At 37.8% G+C, this 18,928-nt stretch overlaps 1 long non-coding RNA gene across 2 annotated transcripts in view; it reads left to right on the forward strand.

Moving 5' to 3' along the window:
* The window catches only part of LOC107986667 (uncharacterized), a 90,129-nt gene that overhangs the window by 49,683 nt on the left and 21,518 nt on the right, over positions 1-18,928 (forward strand). Inside the window, exon 1 of one of the 2 annotated variants that reach the window (XR_001744458.2) lies at positions 9,014-9,162. The exons of the other annotated variant lie outside the window; for it this stretch is intronic. This is a non-coding gene — a long non-coding RNA (uncharacterized LOC107986667). Of the gene's footprint in view, positions 1-9,013; positions 9,163-18,928 lie in introns of those variants that run through there. 2 annotated transcript variants of the gene reach the window in all.

Here is an 18,928-nt window from a genome sequence, read left to right on the forward strand (position 1 = left end):
TGATTTGTGTATGTTGAACCAGCCTTGCATCCCAGGGATGAAGCCAACTTGATCATGGTGGATAAATTATTTGATATGCTGCTGGATTTGGTTTGCCAGTATTTTATTGAAGATTTTCATATCAATGTTCATCAGGGAAATTGGCCTGAAATTTTCTTTTTCTGTTGTGTCTCTGCCAGGTTTTGATATCAGGATGATGCTGGCCTCATAAACCGAGTTAGAGAGGAATCCCTCTTCTTCTGTTGTTTGGAATAGTTTCAAAAGGAACGGTACCTGCTCCTCTTTGTACCTCTGGTAGAATTCGACTATGAATCCATCTGGTCCTGGGCTTTTTCTGGTTGGTAGGCTCCTAATTACTGTCTCAATTTCAGAACTTGTCTTTGGTCTTTTCAGGGATTCGGCTTCTTCCTTGTCTAGTCTTGGGAGGGTATATGTGTCCAGGACTTTATCCATTTCTTCTAGATTTTCTAGTTTATTATTTGCATAGAGTTATTTATAGTATTCTCTAATGGTAGTTTGTATTTCTCTGGAATCAGTGGATATCCCCTTTATCATGTTTTATTGTGTCTATTTGATTCTTCTTTCTTTTCTTCTTTGTTAGTCTGGCTGGCAGTCTATGTATTTTGTAAATCTTTTCAAAAACCTGATCCTGGATTCATTGATTTTTTGAAAGATTTTTCATGTCTTTATCTCCTTCAGTTCTGTTCTGATCTTAGTTATTTGTTGTCTTCTGCTAGCTTTTGAATTTGTTTGTCCTTGCTTCTCTAGTTATTTTCATAGTGATATTAGGGTGTCAATTTTAGATCTTTCCCACTTTCTGATGTGGGCACTTAGTGCTATAAATTTCCCTCTAAACGCAGCTTTATCTGTATCCCAGAGATTCTGGTATGTTGTGTCTTTGTTCTCATTGGTTTCAAAGAACTTATTTATTTCTGCCTTAATTTTGTTATTTACCCAGTAGTCACTCAGGAGCAAGTTGTTCAATTTCCATGTAGTTGTGCTAATTTAAGTGCGTTTCTTAACCCTGAGTTCTAATTTGATTGCACTGTGGTCTGAGAGACTGTTATGATTTCCATTCTTTTGCATTTCCTAAGGAGTGTTTTACTTCCAATTATGTGTTCAATTTTAGAATAAGTGTGATATGGTGCTGAGTAGAATGTATATTCTGTTGATTTGGGGTGGAGGGTTCTGTAGATGTCTATTAGGTCCACTTGGTTCAGAGGTGAGTTCAAATCCTGAATATCCTCATTAATTTTCTACCTCATTGATCTGTCTAATATTGACAGTGGGTTGTTAAAGTCTCCCACTATTATTGTGTGGGAGTCTAAGTGTTTTTTAGATCTCTAAGAACTTGCTTTATGACTTGGGTGCTTCTGTATTGGGTGCACGTATATTTAGGATATTTAGCTCTTCTTGTTGCATTAATCCCTTTATCATTATGTAATGCCATTCTTTGTCTCTTTTGATCTTTGTTGGTTTACAGTCTGTTTTATCAGAGACTAGGATTGCAACCCCTGCTGTTTTTTTGTTTTTTTGCTTTTCATTTGCTTGGTAAATATTCCTTCTTGCTTTTATTTTGAGCCTATGTGTGTCTGCACATGAGATGGGTCTCCTGAATACAGCACACCAATGGGTCTTGACACTTTATCCAATTTGCCAACCTGTGTCTTTCAATTAGGGCGTTTAGCCCATTTACATTTAAAGTTAATATTGTTATGTGTGAATTTCATCCTGTCATTATGATTCTAGCTGGTTATTTTGCACATTAGTTGATGCAGTTTCTTCATAGTGTCATTGGTCTTTATATTTTGCTATGTTTTTGCAGTTTCTGATACCGGTTTTTCCTTTTCGTGTTTAGGGCTTCCTTCAGGAGCTCTTGTAAGGGAGGCCTGGTGGTGACAAAATCCCTTAGCATTTGCTCGTCTGAAAAAGATTTTTTTTCTTCTTTGCTTATGAAGCTTAGTTTGGCTAGATATGAAATTCTGAGTCAAAAATTCTTTTCTTTAAGAATGTTGAATATTGGCCCCCACTCCCTTTTCTGGCTTGTAGGGTTTTTGCAGAGACACCTGCTGTTAGTCTGATGGGCTTCGCTTTGTAGGTAACCTGACCTTTCTCTCTGGCTGCCTTTAACATTTTTTCCTTCATTTAAACCTTGGGAATCTGACAATTATGTGTCTTGTGGTTGCTCTTCTTGAGGAGTATCTCAGTGGTGTTCTCTGTATTTCCTGAAAATGAATGTTGGCTTGTCTTGCTAGGTTGGAGAAGTTCTCCTGGATCATATCCTGAAGTATGTTTTCCAACTTGGTTCCTTTCTCCCCATCACTTTCAGGTACATCAATTTATTGTAGGTTTGCTCTTTTCATATAGTCCCATATTTCTTGGAGGATTTATTCATTCGTTTTCATTCTTTTTTCTCTAATCTTGTCTTCATGCTTTATTTTATTAAGTTGATCTTCACTCTCTGATATCCTTTCTTCTGCTTGATCGATTTGGCTATTGATACTTGTGTATGCCTCATGAAGTTCTCATGCTGTGTTTTTCAGCTCCATCAGGTGATTTATCTTCTTCTCTAAACTGGTTATTCTCATTAGCAGTTCCTGTAACTTTTTATCAAGGTTCTTAGCTTCCTTGCATTGGGTTAGAACATGCTCCTTTAGCTCAGAGGAGTTTGTTATTACCCACCTTCTGAAGCCTACTTCTGTCAATTTGTCAAACTCATTCTCCATCCAGTTTTGTGCCCTTGCTGGTGAGGAGTTGTGATCCTTTGGCGGAGAAGAGGCATTCTGGCTTTTGGAATTTTCAGCATTTTTATGCTGTTTTTTTCTCATTTTCCTGAATTTATCTACCTTTGATCTTTGATGCTGATGACCTTTGGAAGGAGTTTTTGCGTGTGCATCCTTTTGTTGATGTTGATGTTATTGCTTTCTGTTTGTTAGTTTTCCTTCTAACAGTCAGGCCCCTCTTCTGCAGGTCTGCTGGAGTTTGCAGAGGTCCACTCCAAACCGTGTTTGCTTGGGTATCATGAGGGAAGGCTGCAGAACAGCAAAGATTGCTGCTTGCTTCTTCCTCCAGAAGCTTCTTCCCAGAGAAGCACCCACCCCAGATTCCAGCCAGAGCTCTCCTGTATGAGGTGTCTGTCACCTCCTGATCAGACATGTCTCCTAGTCAGGAGGCATGGGGGTCAGGCACCCACTTGAGGAGGCAGTCTGCCCCTTAGCAGAGCTCAAGCACTGTGCTGGGAGATCTGCTGCTCTCTTCAGAGCCAGCAGGCAGGAACATTTAAGTCAGATGAAGCTGTGCCCACAGCCACACTTCCCTGAGGTGCTCTGTCCCAGGGAGATGGGAGTTTTATCTATAAGCCCCTGACTGGGGCTGCTGCCTTTCTTTCAGAGATGCCCTGCCCAATTAGGAGGAATCTAGAGAGGCAGTCTGGCCATAGCAGCTTTTGTGTGCTGTGGTGGATTCCACAATGTCCAAACTTCCCGGCGGCTTCATTTACACTGTGAGGGGAATACCACCTAAGACTCAGTAATGGTGGATGCCCCTTACCCCACCAAGCTCGAGCATCCCAGCTCAACTTCAGACTGCTGTGCTGGCAGTGAGAACTTCAAGACAGGGGAGCTTAGCTTGCTGGGCTCTAGGGGGGTTGGACTCAGTGAGGAAGACCATTTGGTTCCCTGGCTTCAGCCCCCTTTCCAAGGGAGTAAATGATTCTGTCTCCCTGGTGTTCCAGGCGCCATTAGGGCATGAAAAAAAAAACTCCTGCAGCTAGCTCGGTGTCTGCACAAACAGCTGCTCAGTTTTGTGCTTGAAACCTAGGGCTCTGGTGGTTTAGGCACATGAGGAAATCTCCTGTTTGCAGGTTGCAAAATCCATGGGCAAAGCATAGCATCTGGGCCAGATAGCACAGTCCCTCATGGCTTCCCTTGGCTAGAGGAGGGAGGTCCCAGCCCCTTGTGCTTCCTGGGTGAGGCAATGCCCCACCCTGCTGCTGCCTGGCCTCTGTGGGCTGCACCCACTGTCTAACCAGTCCCAGTGAGATGAACCAAGTACCTCAGTAGGAAATGCAGAAATCACCTGCCTTCTACATTGGTCTTGCTGGGAGCTGCAGACTGGAGCTGTTTCTATTTGGCCATCTTGCCAGATCTCCCTAAACTTACTGATAAATGTTTTTAAATACCTTTCAAATAGAACAAAATCTGGCAAAAAATAAGAAGTCATAATACCAAAATGCAAATGAAGATTTGGGCCCATGGAGCTAGGTGACACTGAAACTCTTTGCCAGGAGGACATCTGCTGAGCCAGCTACATCTGCAGGTTGCTTTTTCAGAGGCTTAGAGATTTTATAGAGATAAAGTTCCTGCTAGACCCCTCAAAATGGGAGGTCTGTAGGACCAGGTTCCACTGTTTCCCTTTCTGATGGTGTCCTTATTTCTCCATAGCAGCGCCAGTCACATATGCAATTAAATAATTGCACAATTACTGATTTATATTTCCCTTATTCTTTAACAATAACTCCCTTGCCTGTCTTGTTGATTATCTGATTCCCTGTTGCTAGTATAATTTTTTACACATAGTAGAATCTTGATAAGTATTTGTTGAATGAGTGCATGACTGTGTGAATTAATTTATCCACCTCTAATTTCAATCAGTAACAATGTCCTTTGAAACTATCCAAAGAAATTTAAATCTGAAACTTTACTTTCCCATTGCCCTACAGTAACTTGATATTTCAACCAAAGATCACCTTTACTACAAATTCCACCGATTTACATTGCTTAGATTAGAAATCAGCATGCCTGGGGTGTGATTTTTCAGGTGACTTCTGGACCTAACTCAGAACTCCAGGTGCACATGAACCACAGCAATCACTGAAGTCAGGATTTTTAGCCAGAGCAATGGGCAAGCTGTGGCTGACCTGACAAGAAAGGGTGAGTTTCTACGACATCTTACCAGGGCTGCTCCAAGAAAGGCTTTGTCTTTTATAAATGCAGTAATTATACATGAGGGGTTAAGACACAATGGTTTCCCCCAGCCCCCAATCAAGAATCATTGCTGTATTGTTGTATTAATGAGGATCGCTTCTACCATAGTCACACTTGCACAGGGATATGACTCCGTTGTAAAATTGGTTTCTAAAAATAAAATGAAACCCTGAAACTTGATAAAGGCATTTATTTATTATAAGTACCTACATTCATTTATATATCTGTTAGAGATAGAGATCAGATTATTTATTGTGATCATGAAAAGAGAATAGCTATGGGTAAATAGGAAACCTGTATCTGGATGCATGAGTGGGTTGAAGTTGGGGCTGGGTTAGAACGAATTTTATTTATTTTTCTCTGGTGAAAAATAATCATTTGTGAGCTAGAAAATAAAACGACATTTAAGATGTTTTAGAAATCCAATTACATCTTTCTTCAGTTTAGACAAACATATACGAACATCGTGAATGGATTCTGTGTACCAGTGCAGTGTTATTGTTTCTTCAAACATGAATAAGATCCACTCCTAACACTTAAGAGGTCCCTAAAGTTGTCTCATCCACAGATAGCAAATTCCTTTACTTACTCAGCCACTTGACAATTATCCATCTTAGTCTACCGAGCACACTCTAGCTTCCCGCCATCTGGAAATGAAGTCCAATCTCCTGACCTTTGTTCACCAAGTCTTTTTCATATGGGTATTGCTATCATATCTCTTCCATGGCATCATTCATCTCTCCAGATATACTGTAGAATTTGGGGTTCCTGTAAGGGACTTTGATCTTAACTGCTTCCCTCAGCTCACAGCTCATAGCTGTTTTCTAGGGACAGAAAATGAATAAGACAATAAGACCATGATAATCCCTGGTCACTTAAAACATACAACCTTGGAGGGATATATGTTTTATGTGGAAAGGGATTATGATGGACTTGTCTTAATTCCCATTTTTTGTCCCTAGAAACCAGCATATGTCTGACATATTTAGCAGTGCTGACTATATTTTGGCTGGGACCCACTATATCTTTGATCCAGGTAGATGGGTTTGTATTGGCTACATTAATAAGGACAGTAAAACCTAATATCCAACACACAACTTGTCTAAGGTCCATTCAGAATATATTACATAATGTTTTTGCTTCATGATATTTGGCAGAACTCTTGGAACTCTTGACTTTCCCACAATTTCATTTCCCACCTTATCTTTTCTATCTCATAAATGTTACTCCTGTGTTCAATCAAAATATAAGCCAGCAGTTTTCAAACTTTTTGTTATGATGATCTCTTCATACTTTTAAAAAGTTGAGGATTTCAAAGAGTGTCTGTGGATAAATTCTATCTCCAGCTACTTACCATGTTGGAATTTTAAACAGAGAGCTTTGAAAGCACCAACACACACTAGCCATCATGGTGCAGGTGCCGTTTCAAGGCACCAAGTTCATGGAGAGCCTGCTGCAAGCTCGTGAGGAAATGAGAGTGAAAAGATGAACCACCCCACAGGAATTATAATGGAAGTTATTTTGACCTTGTTGGCCATAGAGCCTGGGATACAGTTTGAAAACCTCTGGTGTGAATTATCTTTTATTTCTTGTTTTTCTTCACCCCTTCATAGCCAATCAGGAACTCCTGTCAGGTTGGAAAAAATGTGTCCCAAATCTTTGTATTCATTTGATTTTGGCTGTGACCACCCTAGACCACCCTGGTTCTGCTCACGAAGATCCTTACAAGAAGCCATGCTTTCAGCATTCTGTAGTCGGCAGAATAAGGACCCTCAAGGGTCTCCACTTTCTAATCCCCAAAACCTGTGAATGTTACTTTATATGGAAAGAGGGACTTTGCAGCTGTGACTAAATCAGCCTCTTGAGATGGGGAGAGTGTCCTGGGTAATCCACATGGGCCCAGCATCCTCACAAAGGTCCTTATGAGAGGTCGGTAGGACATCGGAGTGAGAAGAAGGAACGAGGGAAGCAGAGGGAAAGGTGGGGGATGTGTGATGTAGGGTCGCTCCAGGTGAGGACCACAGCCATCCTGAAAAGCCTAGGCACAGATTCTCCCCTGCAGCCTCCAGAAGGAACATGTTCCTGCCGACAACTTGACTGTAGCCCAGTAGGACTGATTTTGGACTTTGGACTTCCAGGACTGTAAGATAATGCACGTGTGTTGTGTTAAATTTGTAGTAGCTTGTGGTAGCTGCGATGAAAATTGAATGCAGCCATTAGCTGTTCTTTCTCTCTGGTTCTTTTCTTCCCCATGTTAGAATCCGTTTTCCACCATAGCCAGAGTGATTTTCAATATCTTTATCAGATCATTTTGCTCCTCTATTGGGAACCCTCCAGCATCCCTGTTGTCCTTTGAAAATAAAGCACACCCCTTGCCTCGTCCTGCTAGCCTTGGATTATGTACCTGCAGACCATGGCAGCTCATCCCACTCTTTTCCCTAATTCACTGCCCACAGTCACCTGGCCTTCCTGTCTCTCAGGCAAGTCCACCTCACTCTGCCTCAATGCCTTTGCTCCCCGTCTCTTTCCCTGGAGTGCACCCCTCATCTACACCTGTCTGCTCACTCTCACCACTGGGGTCTTAGGGCACCATCACCTCCTCAGAGAATCCTTCCCTGAATAACCCAGATTGTCTTGATCCATCCACTTCCTCCAGGATCCTACTTATATCAAGATTACTCAAAATGTCACAATAGTAGTTATCACCGCCTGGATTTATCTTTTGTTCATTAGTATCCATTACTGATTTTCTGACATTTGTCACTCAAAGACAGGTTCAGAGAGCAGGCCTTTCCCCTGCTTCGCTCACCATTATATTCACAAAATCCTGAGCAGTGGTAAATGACAATCTGGTCTGACTATTTTTCTCTAAATATACAGACTAGCTGCTCGATAAATATATGTTGAAATAATGAGTGAGTATTTTGGCACACTTTCCTTTCTTTTTGCAGTCTGCTAATGCTCTAAGTAGACAGGCTTTCCTAGAAGATCTTAGAGAGAAGAAAGCAGCAACAGTAGCCCTGCCCATTCATGACCTTAACGTCGCAGACATGGCAGGTCCTGTGCCCAGGCTATCTAAGTCAAGTCGGAGAGAGCTGGGCCTCAGGTTTCTCCAAGCTTCTCTAGTCAGGATCTCCGAAAACACAGGATATTCCGTCATCTGAGACTATATAAAAGGGAATCCAGGTTTAAGAAAGATTAACTCCCATGCAGTGTATCCCTGCGGGGCTGGGGGAGGAGGATGAGGAGCCTCTCAGAACACAGTGCATGTGAGTTAAGCTTTCTTAAACCTGGATTCCATTTTTTATAGTCTCAGATGACAGATGTTTATATCCCAGAGAGTGGGCAAAAGCCCTCGTTATGCTGCAGTCCGTTGACCTAAACATTTCTCCTCCCATTACTGTTCTTTAAATACACCATCTTGAAAGCATGAGGGAAGGTTTTTTTGATAAAATCTGTCAATTGTGAGGTTCATAACCCTAGAAAGCACCTCTCATCTGATAGCGTGCTCCTCTTATCCTATAGCTGGCATAAAACGCTGCTAATTCATCTTCTCCTGATAGGAAACATTAGATTATTCCATGAGATCAGAAAACTTGAACATTCTTGACATTACCCATGAATATTTGCCCATTTCCTACCTATTTCACTCATTCTGAATCCCCTGCAGTTAGAAATGGCGCAGATAAACTTTCACCATTTCAGAAAATATAGCCCCAATAAAACATTTTTTGCCACCCACAGAACAGCAAAGGGCACTCTTCATTTCTAGGCAGAGCATTTTGTAAATTGGAAACGTATCAGTGACAATTATCAAGAAACAGTTTTCAAAATGCACTCCTTTCTATGGAGCCTAGCAATTCTTCTTTCACAAAGACATTAACCAAAAGCAATGCTCTGAAAATGTCATTTGGAGCATGCAATTGAATTAATTTATTTGTTTTATGATATTTTACAGTTAGTCATGTAAGAGATTTTCACTTTATTTTTTCATCTGCTCATTTAGATAATGCTTTAACTGCCATAAATCCCAGCTACGGAGGTGAGGAAACGGCATGAGCATAACCATATCCTCTACGTATTGCATAGTGAATGCAAGCTGGCCTGACTATTCATTGTATCTTTTCGTTGAGGCGCTTGGCTTCCACTCCAAATGTGAAGTCTTTTCCTTTTCCAGGTAAAACTAGTATTGTGTAATTAATTTTGCAGATGAGAAAATGGGGGAAATTCTATTATAAGCTTGATAGGAGAAAGCATATAATGTCCTCGTCAGTGGAGGAGCATTCGAAATATCATGAATGAAATGCCCTAAGGTCTCCACTTGTTGAGGACGGGTGGGTGGAATTATGCCAAGTGTTGTTCACAATGCCTTGATTCTTGGGGCAAGGAGAACATAAATCCACTCTAAAATCAACTTAAAACTTGGGCTAAATATGTGGATGCAAGGAGACCCCCCCCCCGCCCACAATGTAATTGTACCGAGTCCAAGATGCTGAACTACATAGCATTTTTATGTTTGGACCAACAGTTTTGAGATATTAATCTGAATTTTGTCACCTAAATGTTCTATAGCAATATTTGAAATATTTGAAACTATTTTAGTAATTATTTTACATGTGAAAAGTAGCAAAATTTGATGAAAGTTACACATATAGTATTCCAACTACTATTTTGATAGTAAGAAATAGCTGCTTATTCATTACTCCAGATCATTATTTACTTACACACTGCATCTTGGATCCTAGAAATCTAAGATGTCTCTGAATATTGCTCAAACATTTACTTTTTAAAGACTATATATCATGGAAATGGTCTGTTTTGTGCTTTAGCCAAGCGTATCATTTTGTTACCCTTAACTGCTCTCTAAGTGCAATGCAATGATGCCCATCCAGAACATTGTCTATGCTAAATTGTGGAAAGAGTCATTCACAATTTCCTATTCTCTGTTCGCAAATCCAGTCCTAGGGTAATAGGCAGGTTAATTCCTTCTACGAGAATCCATTGCACCCTGTATCTCCCTTTTGATATGATGGATTATACATATGATCATTTGCTTGCGTTAAGCTCATGTATCTTTCTGGTCTGTAATTTCCATAGGATAAGTTTGTGCCAGTGGCATGCTGTTTGCAGTTTTCATGCATTCAACAAGCATTTATTGTGTCTTATGTGTCAAGCATGATTCTAGAGAATGAAGATTTAGCAGTAAGCAAAACAGAAAAAAATCCCTGCCTTCATGAAATTGGGATTTTCATGAAAGTTGTTATTGCTATTTTAAACCTTTTCCAACTTTCTTAGCTGTCTTTGGATCTTTATTTTCCTATCTGAATTTCAAAAGAAGATTCTTGAGCTTCTCAAGATCCAGCTAAAATTTTAATTAAGGTAGCACTGAATTCATAAGTTAATTTTCAGGAAATTGATGTTTTTATAATATGTTATCTCAATTTATTTGGATCTTTTAGGGTCCTGTATTCAGATCTTTTATGCCTTTATGTATATTTGATAATTATCAAAAATTTTATTGTAGGTTGTACTGTAAATATTTCATTTCCTATTATTTTACTACAGACAAATTGCACTATTTTGGTAAGTTATTCATTTATGCAGTAAATTTGTTCAACTCTCTCATTACTTATTGTAGTTTTTCTGTTGGTTATATTTGTTGTGGTTTGTAGATGAGGCTGTCATTTGCAAATAATGATGTTTGCCTTTTCTCTTAAAATAATTGCACTGCTGTATTTTTTTTATTTCTTACAACATTGGCTAGGAATTCTATTCTCTGTTGAACAGTTGCAGTGAAAATACACATGCCTGGTTTGTCCCCATTAAGTAAATATTTGTGATAGATTTTTGATATACAGTTTTTACTTTGTTAAGAGAGTTCTTTTTTATTCCTAATTTGCTGTGAGATTTTTAAAATCATAAATAATGCACATTTTCAAATGCTTTTTCTGAATCTACTGATATAATTATAAGATTTTTCCATTTAAATCAGCAAATTGCATTGATAGATTATTTATTACTGAATTATTCTTCCATTTCTGGATCAATATGACTTCCTCATGATTTATTTGTTTCATACACTGTTAGATTTGAACAGACAATTATATCTGCATGCATCAGTTAAATGGATTTATAAATTTTTGTTTTTATACTGTCTTTACCTGCTTCAAAATTTAATTTATATAATTTTCAGAAATAAACTCTTTAGAAATTGTAAGAATGTACAGTAAATTGTTTAGTCAGTTTTCAAATTGGCAAATTGTTCAGTTAGCCTACTTTTTGTTCTTTCAATATAAGTGAAATTTTTGTTTACATATATCTTGAAATATATGTGTGTGACTCTTGAGGAAGAGTTCCTTGGCAATAAAATCACTAAGATAAAATTATATACATTTTTAAAATTTTATGAATACAACCAAAATTGCCCCAGAAACTTTCATACTTACACCAACGTATTTCCAGTCTTAAATATTATTATTGTTTTGAGTAGCATTTGTTTTATTTTGAGTGAGATTAAGCATTTATTTAGTTTTGACATGTTGTTTCTATAAATTGTCTATTTATATAGTTAGCTCTTTTAGTGAGTAATTGATTGCTTCATCATGATGTATATCTACTTTTATGAATTAAGAAATTTAGCTACAGAGGCTGTGAACTGTATTCTCAGTTTACTGTTGAACATTTAAATTATCATATTTTTTAATTTGTTAAATATAAATATTTATAAAATGAAATATATCAATTTTTCAGTTATAACTTTTTACTTTTTCTTATACTTTTGTACTTTTAAATTGCAAAAAATATTACACATTCATTTTTCTTAAACTGTTGTGGTTTTTTTATATTTAAACTTTTGACCAAACTGGAATTCTATTTTATTAAGTAATAAACTGGAGATTAAGCTTTATTATTTTCAAATAATTCTCTCAAACCAATTAGTTTACATAACAGAATTTCTTCAATCATACAAAATAATACTTTCTCATAATGTGAATTTCTACATTTTGTTATGTCTATGTGTTCTGTGTTATGCAATAAACTATTTTTTCTCCGTAGAAATGAGGTTAATTTTTGTAGCTTTATCATAGGTTTAATTTCTGGAAGTCTTGGCCTATCAATGTTACTCTGTACTTTAACAAATTTCCAGTTGAGGTTTAATGTTGTTCTGCAGACTCCCTCTTTAGCATTTTAAGGGGATTGAATACTGTATTTAATCATTGCTGCACTGCTTATGATCGTGGGTTAATGCATGACTTGGCTGAAAGCTATTGTCACTGAAATAGAAATATCCTGGCTTACAAAAGTTCCAGAGACTTTAATCTATTCAGAGCACGTAGGTTTATCCTCCATGTGAGATGGGCATGGCCATGAACACTAGGACAAGAGTTTGGATCAAGGTTTGTGGGTTCATATTTTTGTAGTTGTTTTTCATAATAATTTCTACTTCACAGTTATTTACTCCTTTGATTCCTCTGCTCATACAATTCAGCTAATTTGATAGACTGGTCTATGATGCATCATTAAAGCTGCAGGATGTTGCGTAAACATCTCTAAATAAGAAAAGACTATCCACAGCTGAAAAAAATGTCCCTCTATGTCCTCATTCACAAATACAATTTCTTTTGTAGTCTCTAACACTTTGCATCATATAAGTAGGAGAGGGTTAACTATATCCTCACCGTTATACTTGTTCAAGTTTTCTGATAGGATTGTGGGTGTCACTAATGTTCTAAATGTTCTTGTTCTTCACCTTGGGGAGGGATATTTCAAACCTGTTACTACTTAATTAATCATCCCTTCCCTACTATTCACTTCCAGTGTTGGTCACACTCCTGTAGTAATTCCATTTCCCTCGGTCCTTTGGCTGTGAAATAGGTGATGCCCTCCCCACATGGCTCACGTATTCCTGAATTGGCCTCACTGGCTCCAGTTCACCCCTGCTTGATCCATTCTACAGGAACATTAAGAGTTATCTTCTCCTGCTCAGGATTAATCATCACTGCCTTTAGAAGAGCCCTTGAGGGCTTACAATAGCCACTTAAATTAAATTGAAACCTCTTGTATTAGGACTCAGCAAATTGTGTACTCTGCTTTAGTCAACTGGTTGCTGTTCCTACCCTGCTCCAACTATTATTCTCTGTTTCTGCTAAACAAACTCACTCATATATATTAGGCTTCAATTCCTACTTTCAAGTAACTCTCTCTATCCTTTTCTCTCCTTCAAACCTCTCTTCAACTTTCACTCGACTCTTGTAATAGTTATCATTTTCAGTTTCCCTTGCTGTCCACTTCAGTAATTCTTTCTGAAAGCACCTACTCATTCTTTATTTTTAAATGTAATTATTAAAGATTATTTGGCAATATTAGGCCCCAGGGAAAATGCTGCCTTTACATGATCATAATACAAATTGATAATAAAAACATTGACCAAGAAATTTACTTTTCTTTCTCATCTTTTATACGAAGGTAGAGGACATTTCCACCTTATATTGTTATTTAAGGAATATATGAGTTATATAGAAAGTTGGCCCTTCATATGTATGGATTCTGCATCCGTGGATTCAATCAACCACAAATCTAATATATCATTTAAAAAAGGAATGGTCACAGCTGTACTGAACATGTACAGACTTTTTTTTATTATTAAACCATACAGTATAACAATTATTTACACAGCATTTACAACGTGTTAGGTATTATAAGTAATCTAGAGATGATTTAAAGGATGCAAGAGAATGTGCATAGGTTATAGGCAAATACTACACCATTTTATAAAAGAGACTTGGCTATTTGTGGATTTTGAATTTTGATATACACAGATGTTCTAGAACCAATCACCCACAGATTACAAGGGACAACTGTAGAAAGTAATTAGAACATATCCCTACATGGATATCAAGATATCTATATGTATCATCTGTTTATTGATCCCTCTATCTATACTTTCCATTTTCATTGATTTTACTAGATATTACCACCATTGCTTCTTCAAAATCCAGCTCAAGTTTTCGCAAAACATACATGCTCAATTATATTTCAAGTCAGTATTTACTCATGAATGAATGGTAATACATCTACCTGATTCTTGTGATAGTATTCTTCATATACAGGGAATTTGATAAATGCATAGAATATAACTGAATAACTTTGTACATGCCTATTGCTACAAATTAGAACTTTTACTATGTCAGCTGCTCAAAAGTTTGCTTGCAACTCTGATGGTAATAGACGGGTGTCTCCATGAATAATTAGTGAGACAATTATAAACAAAACTGTTTACATGTTACAGCACCATCACAATTTAAAAACCAGATTATTAATAAATGCAATATATAATTGTAGTTGAAACAAATAACCTGAGATTACATTGATTATTTGGTTAATTCTTCTGAAGATAGCTATAAAGACTTAATATCAAAATATTTCTCTATTGGCCAGGTGTGGTGGCTCACACCTGTAATCGCAGCACTTTGGGAGGCAGAGGCAGGCGGATCACTTGAGGTCAGGAGTTTGACACCAGCATAGCCAACATGATGAAACCCCATCTCTATTAAAAATACGAAAACTAGCCAGGCATGGTGGTGTGCACCTCTAGTCCCAGTTCTCAGGAGGCTGAGGCAGGAGAATCACTTGAACCTAGGGGCGGAGGCTGCAGTGAGTGAAGTTCACACCAGTACACCCTAGCCTGGGTGACAGAGTGAGACTCCATCTCAAAAAAAATTTATATATATATATACACATACACACATACACATATATATCTATTAAGCTTTTTAAATTATATCAACTTAAAGGCAGATATCCTTCTATATAATGTGGCTTGTTCCATCAAGAATTTGAGGCTCTTCACACTTTTTTTCTGAATTCAAGCAAACTTCCAAGTTTACATACAATAAAAATAGTCAAATATGTTAAAAAAATGTGTTATCTAAATAAATACGTTTATAAGCACAATTTAAAAATGGCCTCTTGTACCTTATAATTGATAGAAATATAACTTTTAGAAAAACAGGAAAACACAATGTCTTCCTAGAATTTCTGACAACCTCACAAGCCTGCCCTGCAAATAATCACAATATGAAACAACTCTTCTGCTTCATTTCTATATGGTTATATTGGTTGTTTTTAAAAACAATTTTTAATTGTTTTTTAACTGTAACCAGTCCTCCAAGCAAAAATTAAAAGTATGTTGTTGATGTTTTAATTGAGTTTACTTTTACAATGAAGTTTCTGAAGATGCCAGAAGTCATTTCCTTACACTTTAGAAAGTGCAAGAAAATGTCCTTTTATGATAAATTGTTAAATTGCAGTTAAAATATTAAAAATATTTTATAGTGTATAGACCAAGTCAAGAACTTACTTAACTGTATGCTATTTTAAAAGTTGTAAATTTCTTCAAACTCTAAGTTAGAACATTCGTTTTGAAAACTATTTTAATAGCTGTTTTGAGCGGTAGTGTTTTTGGTGTTGAATATATATTTAAATTTAAAATTTAACTAATACACAGGTGGATCATGAAGATGGACTATGAATTAAAGGTTATGATTAATCTAATTCTGTGCACCTGAGGTATAATTTTTTTTAGAGACAAAAGTCTCAACTTACATAGCTTAAGAAAATCAGTCCAGTTAAAATTTAAGTAACGACACATAAAGTAGTCAATAGAATGCATCTACGTGTGTGTGTGTGTTTTTTTTTCTCTCTAAGCAGCTGGCAACATTTCAAACACTCTCGTAGGTGCATTAGTCTATGCAGTGGTTAGAGGAAATGAGAACCTTCCCCAACGCTTATCCACCGTTTCCAGGAGGGGAAATGAAAGGTCAGAGAAGTGATTTGCTGACTAGGGGAGTCAGCCTAACAGTGGCTTTCAGCTAATCAGTGATCTCTGGTCAGGAGAAAGTTCGTTTCTAAGAGGCAAAGTCCTTGGAGACTGGCCAGATTTGTAAAAAATAATACTGTTGTTCCTTTGGATTTTTCTTTCTTTATACAAAAATCTAGTCCACAGATTGCTTACAGGTAACTATAGATCCATGAGTTTCAATTTGATTGACTCTCAGTGTTTTGCAGCACTCAGTGTAGGGAAAGGGGAGATAATATAATGATGAATAGGCAAGAGGAACTGATACATGGTACATATAAAGGCACAAAGAGCTATAGAGCAATGTAACAGCTTTCATTTACTGAAGAGAAGCTATGTGCAGATTATTTTGTGGATATTTAATTGGCCTCAAAAGCGTCCCATCAAACATGTCTAATTATCCCCATCTCAATGACAAGAAAACTGAAACTTAAACAGTTTAAATCACTTGCTCCAATTTGCATCGGCAGTAATGTTAGCGGTTGGTGAATGTTAATTCCAGCCTCAGTCCAGTTCTGTTGCTCCAAAACTTCTGCTCTTCCTAACAGGCAAGACTTCTCTTGTGCTTCCCTTGTTCCGTCTACTCTTCCCAGTGAGGGAATTTTACCATTATCCCTACCTTACCAGTGATACAACCGAAGCTTAGAGAAGCACAGTGACTTTTTGAAGGCCTCTTGGTGAAAGGGAAAAGCAGTACCCAACACCGGAGTTCGTTGCATGTCTGTTTTGAATGACAGCATGGCTTATTAACTTCTACATTAAGCCAAACTTTGTGGGGAAGATGGAAAGGAGAAAACTGTGTTCTCCAAACATGTGCTAGTGTTTTGTATTCCCTTGTCATTGGTCTAGTTATAACGATGTCCCATGCCTGTCTCCATATAGAAGCTGGTGACTTGTCATGGTATAAAATGTTTTCTTGTCATTGACCAATTACAGAGCTTATCAAATAAAAGAAACACTGCTAGTAGAAATCCCAGCTGACCAGCTTGGAAATGGAATACATCTTACAAATGTCCAACTTCAGAATGATGAGTTTCTTTTATTTTTTATTTATTTTTTTGAGACAGAGTCTCACTCTGTTGCCCAGACTGGAGTCCAGTGGCACGATCTTGGCTCACTGCAATCTCTGCCTGCTGGGTTCAAGCAATTCTCCTGCCTCAGCCTCCTGAGTAGCTGGGACTACAGGCATGCGCCACCATGCCTGGCTAATTTTTTTGTATTTTTAGTAGAGACGGGGTTTCACCATGCTGGCCAGGCTGGTCTCAAACTCCTGACCTCATGATCCACCCACCTTGGCCTCCCAAAGTGCTGGGATTACAGGTGTGAGCCACCACGCTGGGCCGGGTTTCTTGATCAATCAGCTTAGAAGAGTTGAAAATCACAAGGAAAGTAAAATACAAGCCACAGATTCATGTGTAGAGGAAGGTGGCTAATTAATTCAGATTTTTGTTGGCTGGCATTTTGAAAGCCCAATAGTAATCTTTGTGTGTCCTTAGAGACTGTGATTGTAAATTTGGTTTTAATTACATATGTTAGTATACTGGTTGAAAAAAAGAATCAAGTAAATAATTTACAAATGCTAAATTATAGAGAGGCATGCTGGCATGCTTGAATGATGGTTTTCTTGGAGACATTAGGCAGCAGGTCATTAGTGAGAGGAAGCTTTCAAAAACATGAAGTTTGGTTTTCTGCATGTTAATGCTTTGTTTATAAGACTTGTAGTTATATCTAGCTCTTGGATGTCCACACAATTCTGTGTGTCTATTTGTGATCTGCTACATGGAAACCTGGACTGGGAAGCCAGACCCAGGTTTTGAGGTAACTCTAACCAATGGAGGTGGCAATTATTTGTTCACTTATGCCACAGATATCTTACAGTACGGAGTTTATGGCAAAAACTTACTAAGGCTGAATATGCAAAGCTAAAGAAAAGACACGATTCAATGTGCTCAGACTCTCCAGTGGCATGGTTGATACTGACTGTTAACAAGCGAACAAAGGTTAGAATAGTTAGTTTTGCTAGGATGAGGGAAAAGGCAACATCTTCAAGGGAACAGACTTGAAAAACATGGGCCATCTTTTCCATTCCACATGCATAGGAAGAGATCTTTTCCATTTTTACCCTCTGTAACTCTAACCAAGCAAGGTGCCTTGTACTACACAATACGGGCATGATAAATACATATTTCTGTAATTTATATAAATTTATATTTGCCTACATATTTTTAACTTTCAAAAATGCCAAATATACCTAAGGTAAAATACAATAAATTTCTATTCTTCCTTTTCATGGTAATTTTGTTTCAAGTGGAAATACAAATGAAAGTTCAATAAATTTGGGGTTGAAACCATTTCTCTTTCCTATGAGAATGAATCACTGGGGAGAAGAGAAAAAGCCCTTTTCACACTGTGAGGCATGTCTGCAGAACAGTTCCCCTGTCATGGAACTGCCACTACCTGTCCGCATCTTTGTTTGAATAAAATGGATCTGCCGGCACGTTATGTCACTCACAGAAGACTTAACATTGTGCAAAATCTCCCCCTGAAAATAAAGAGGGCACAATATTTGAGTAATTTGTACATTGGTAGGTGAGAATTAGTAATCTTGTGAATAGCACAGTGATAACCCACTTCGGTGCTTTTAACTGATGTCATTCTTTCCTACATAACTTTCCAATTCTGGTTGTCTGAGACTTGTCTCTTCATGGGCTCTGCAGACTGATCCTCTACCATATTGTTTCCTCTGGTGTCGTCCAAGTTTCTGATTTTAGGTCAGCACTCTGCTCTCCAGAAGCCACACTCCTTGTCCTCAGTGACATAATTATCTTTATGTCCTCTGGGAAAGGAGAATATGGCCAGGAACAAGATCAGGAGACAGAAACGTGTCTGGAAAAGCCTTTGGTTTGGCTGGAAAGCTCACATAAACAGAACATCTATAACCTCAGTTAATTCTAAACCCAAATCCATTGAATAAAGGGGAAAAATCCATATTACCTGACTCATTTTTTGTTGAACTTCTTTTAAGATAATTGGCCAGTGGGCCTAATGGAGCACCTCCAACAAACATTTTCTCCACTTCCTCCCC

The sequence above is a fragment of the Homo sapiens genome, chromosome 6, assembly GCF_000001405.40.
Source record: "Homo sapiens chromosome 6, GRCh38.p14 Primary Assembly".
Lineage (NCBI taxonomy): Eukaryota > Metazoa > Chordata > Mammalia > Primates > Hominidae > Homo > Homo sapiens.